Genomic DNA, 1,103 nt, shown 5'->3' on the forward strand with positions numbered 1-1,103 from the left:
AGATCAGGGCTTCCTGGTGCCTCCATTTTATGCTAATTACTTATTTACGTGTTGGTTACCTCCCTGGACTGTGAGCTGCTCGGGAGGTTATAGATCTTGTTTCCCTCTGTCTCCCCAGTGCTTAGCTCACTCCCTGGAAATAATAGGCTTGCTGAATAAATTTGAAGATTATTCCAAAAGAATGAACTACAGAACTACTCATTTCTGCAGTGGCACATTGCAGATCTTAGAGTCTGTGTAGCCTCTGGGGCTGCCTGACTTCTTAAAGGGAAAGATGCTGACAAAGATGATGTGTTTCAAGCTAGCACCCATTACTAGTTGGTGACATCTGAGGTCTAGATTTTATGTTGACTCTAATTATGGAATCAGACCACCTACATGCCTATTTAGTTTTGAAGGAAATGAGTATAGAGAGGAACAAATGAATAAACATGCTCTTCCTCTGTCTTGGAACCTATCACAGTGGACAGCATTGATGTGTTAGCATGGGTGTATCTTATAAGCACCTTGAGAGCTGAGATGGCCTTACAAATCTAACAAGAATTGAAGGTTTGTCACATAGTAGGTGCTTAGTTCATTCTTACTAGATTGGATTGAAAGATGAACGATATATTTTGAGTGAGGGAACAGGAAAAAGACACCTAAATTGTGAGATGAATATGAAAACTGGAGACTGTCTTTCACACCGAGTGCTGATGAGAACAGGTGATAGACTTGGCAACAGTGATGGGGCTGCGTCAGCTTATTTTTTTGGCATTGTGACTGAAGACACTGGTTGGAGTCATGAGAAATGTTCATCAGACCTTCCTGTGTTCCTTCTGCTCTCAGATATTGCTGTTGCAAAACAGATCTTGAGGTTTCTCTCATCACTATCCACTAGCATGTTAGGGGGAGCTCTTCTGCCTGGTTCTCAGTGCTCCTGCTTCTACATCAGTAAAAATTATGATGATTTTGGAAATCATCATTCTAGTGATTGGTGCAAGGCTTCAGGTTTTGCTCTTATTGACAATTCTGGTGGATTGGTTGAGGAGGCCGGCACTGTGTCAAGGAGGATTTGGAGGCTTCCTCTAGGCTGAGTGGTAAAGAGAACCATGATCAATTAT

Source organism: Homo sapiens, chromosome 4, assembly GCF_000001405.40.
Source record: "Homo sapiens chromosome 4, GRCh38.p14 Primary Assembly".
Lineage (NCBI taxonomy): Eukaryota > Metazoa > Chordata > Mammalia > Primates > Hominidae > Homo > Homo sapiens.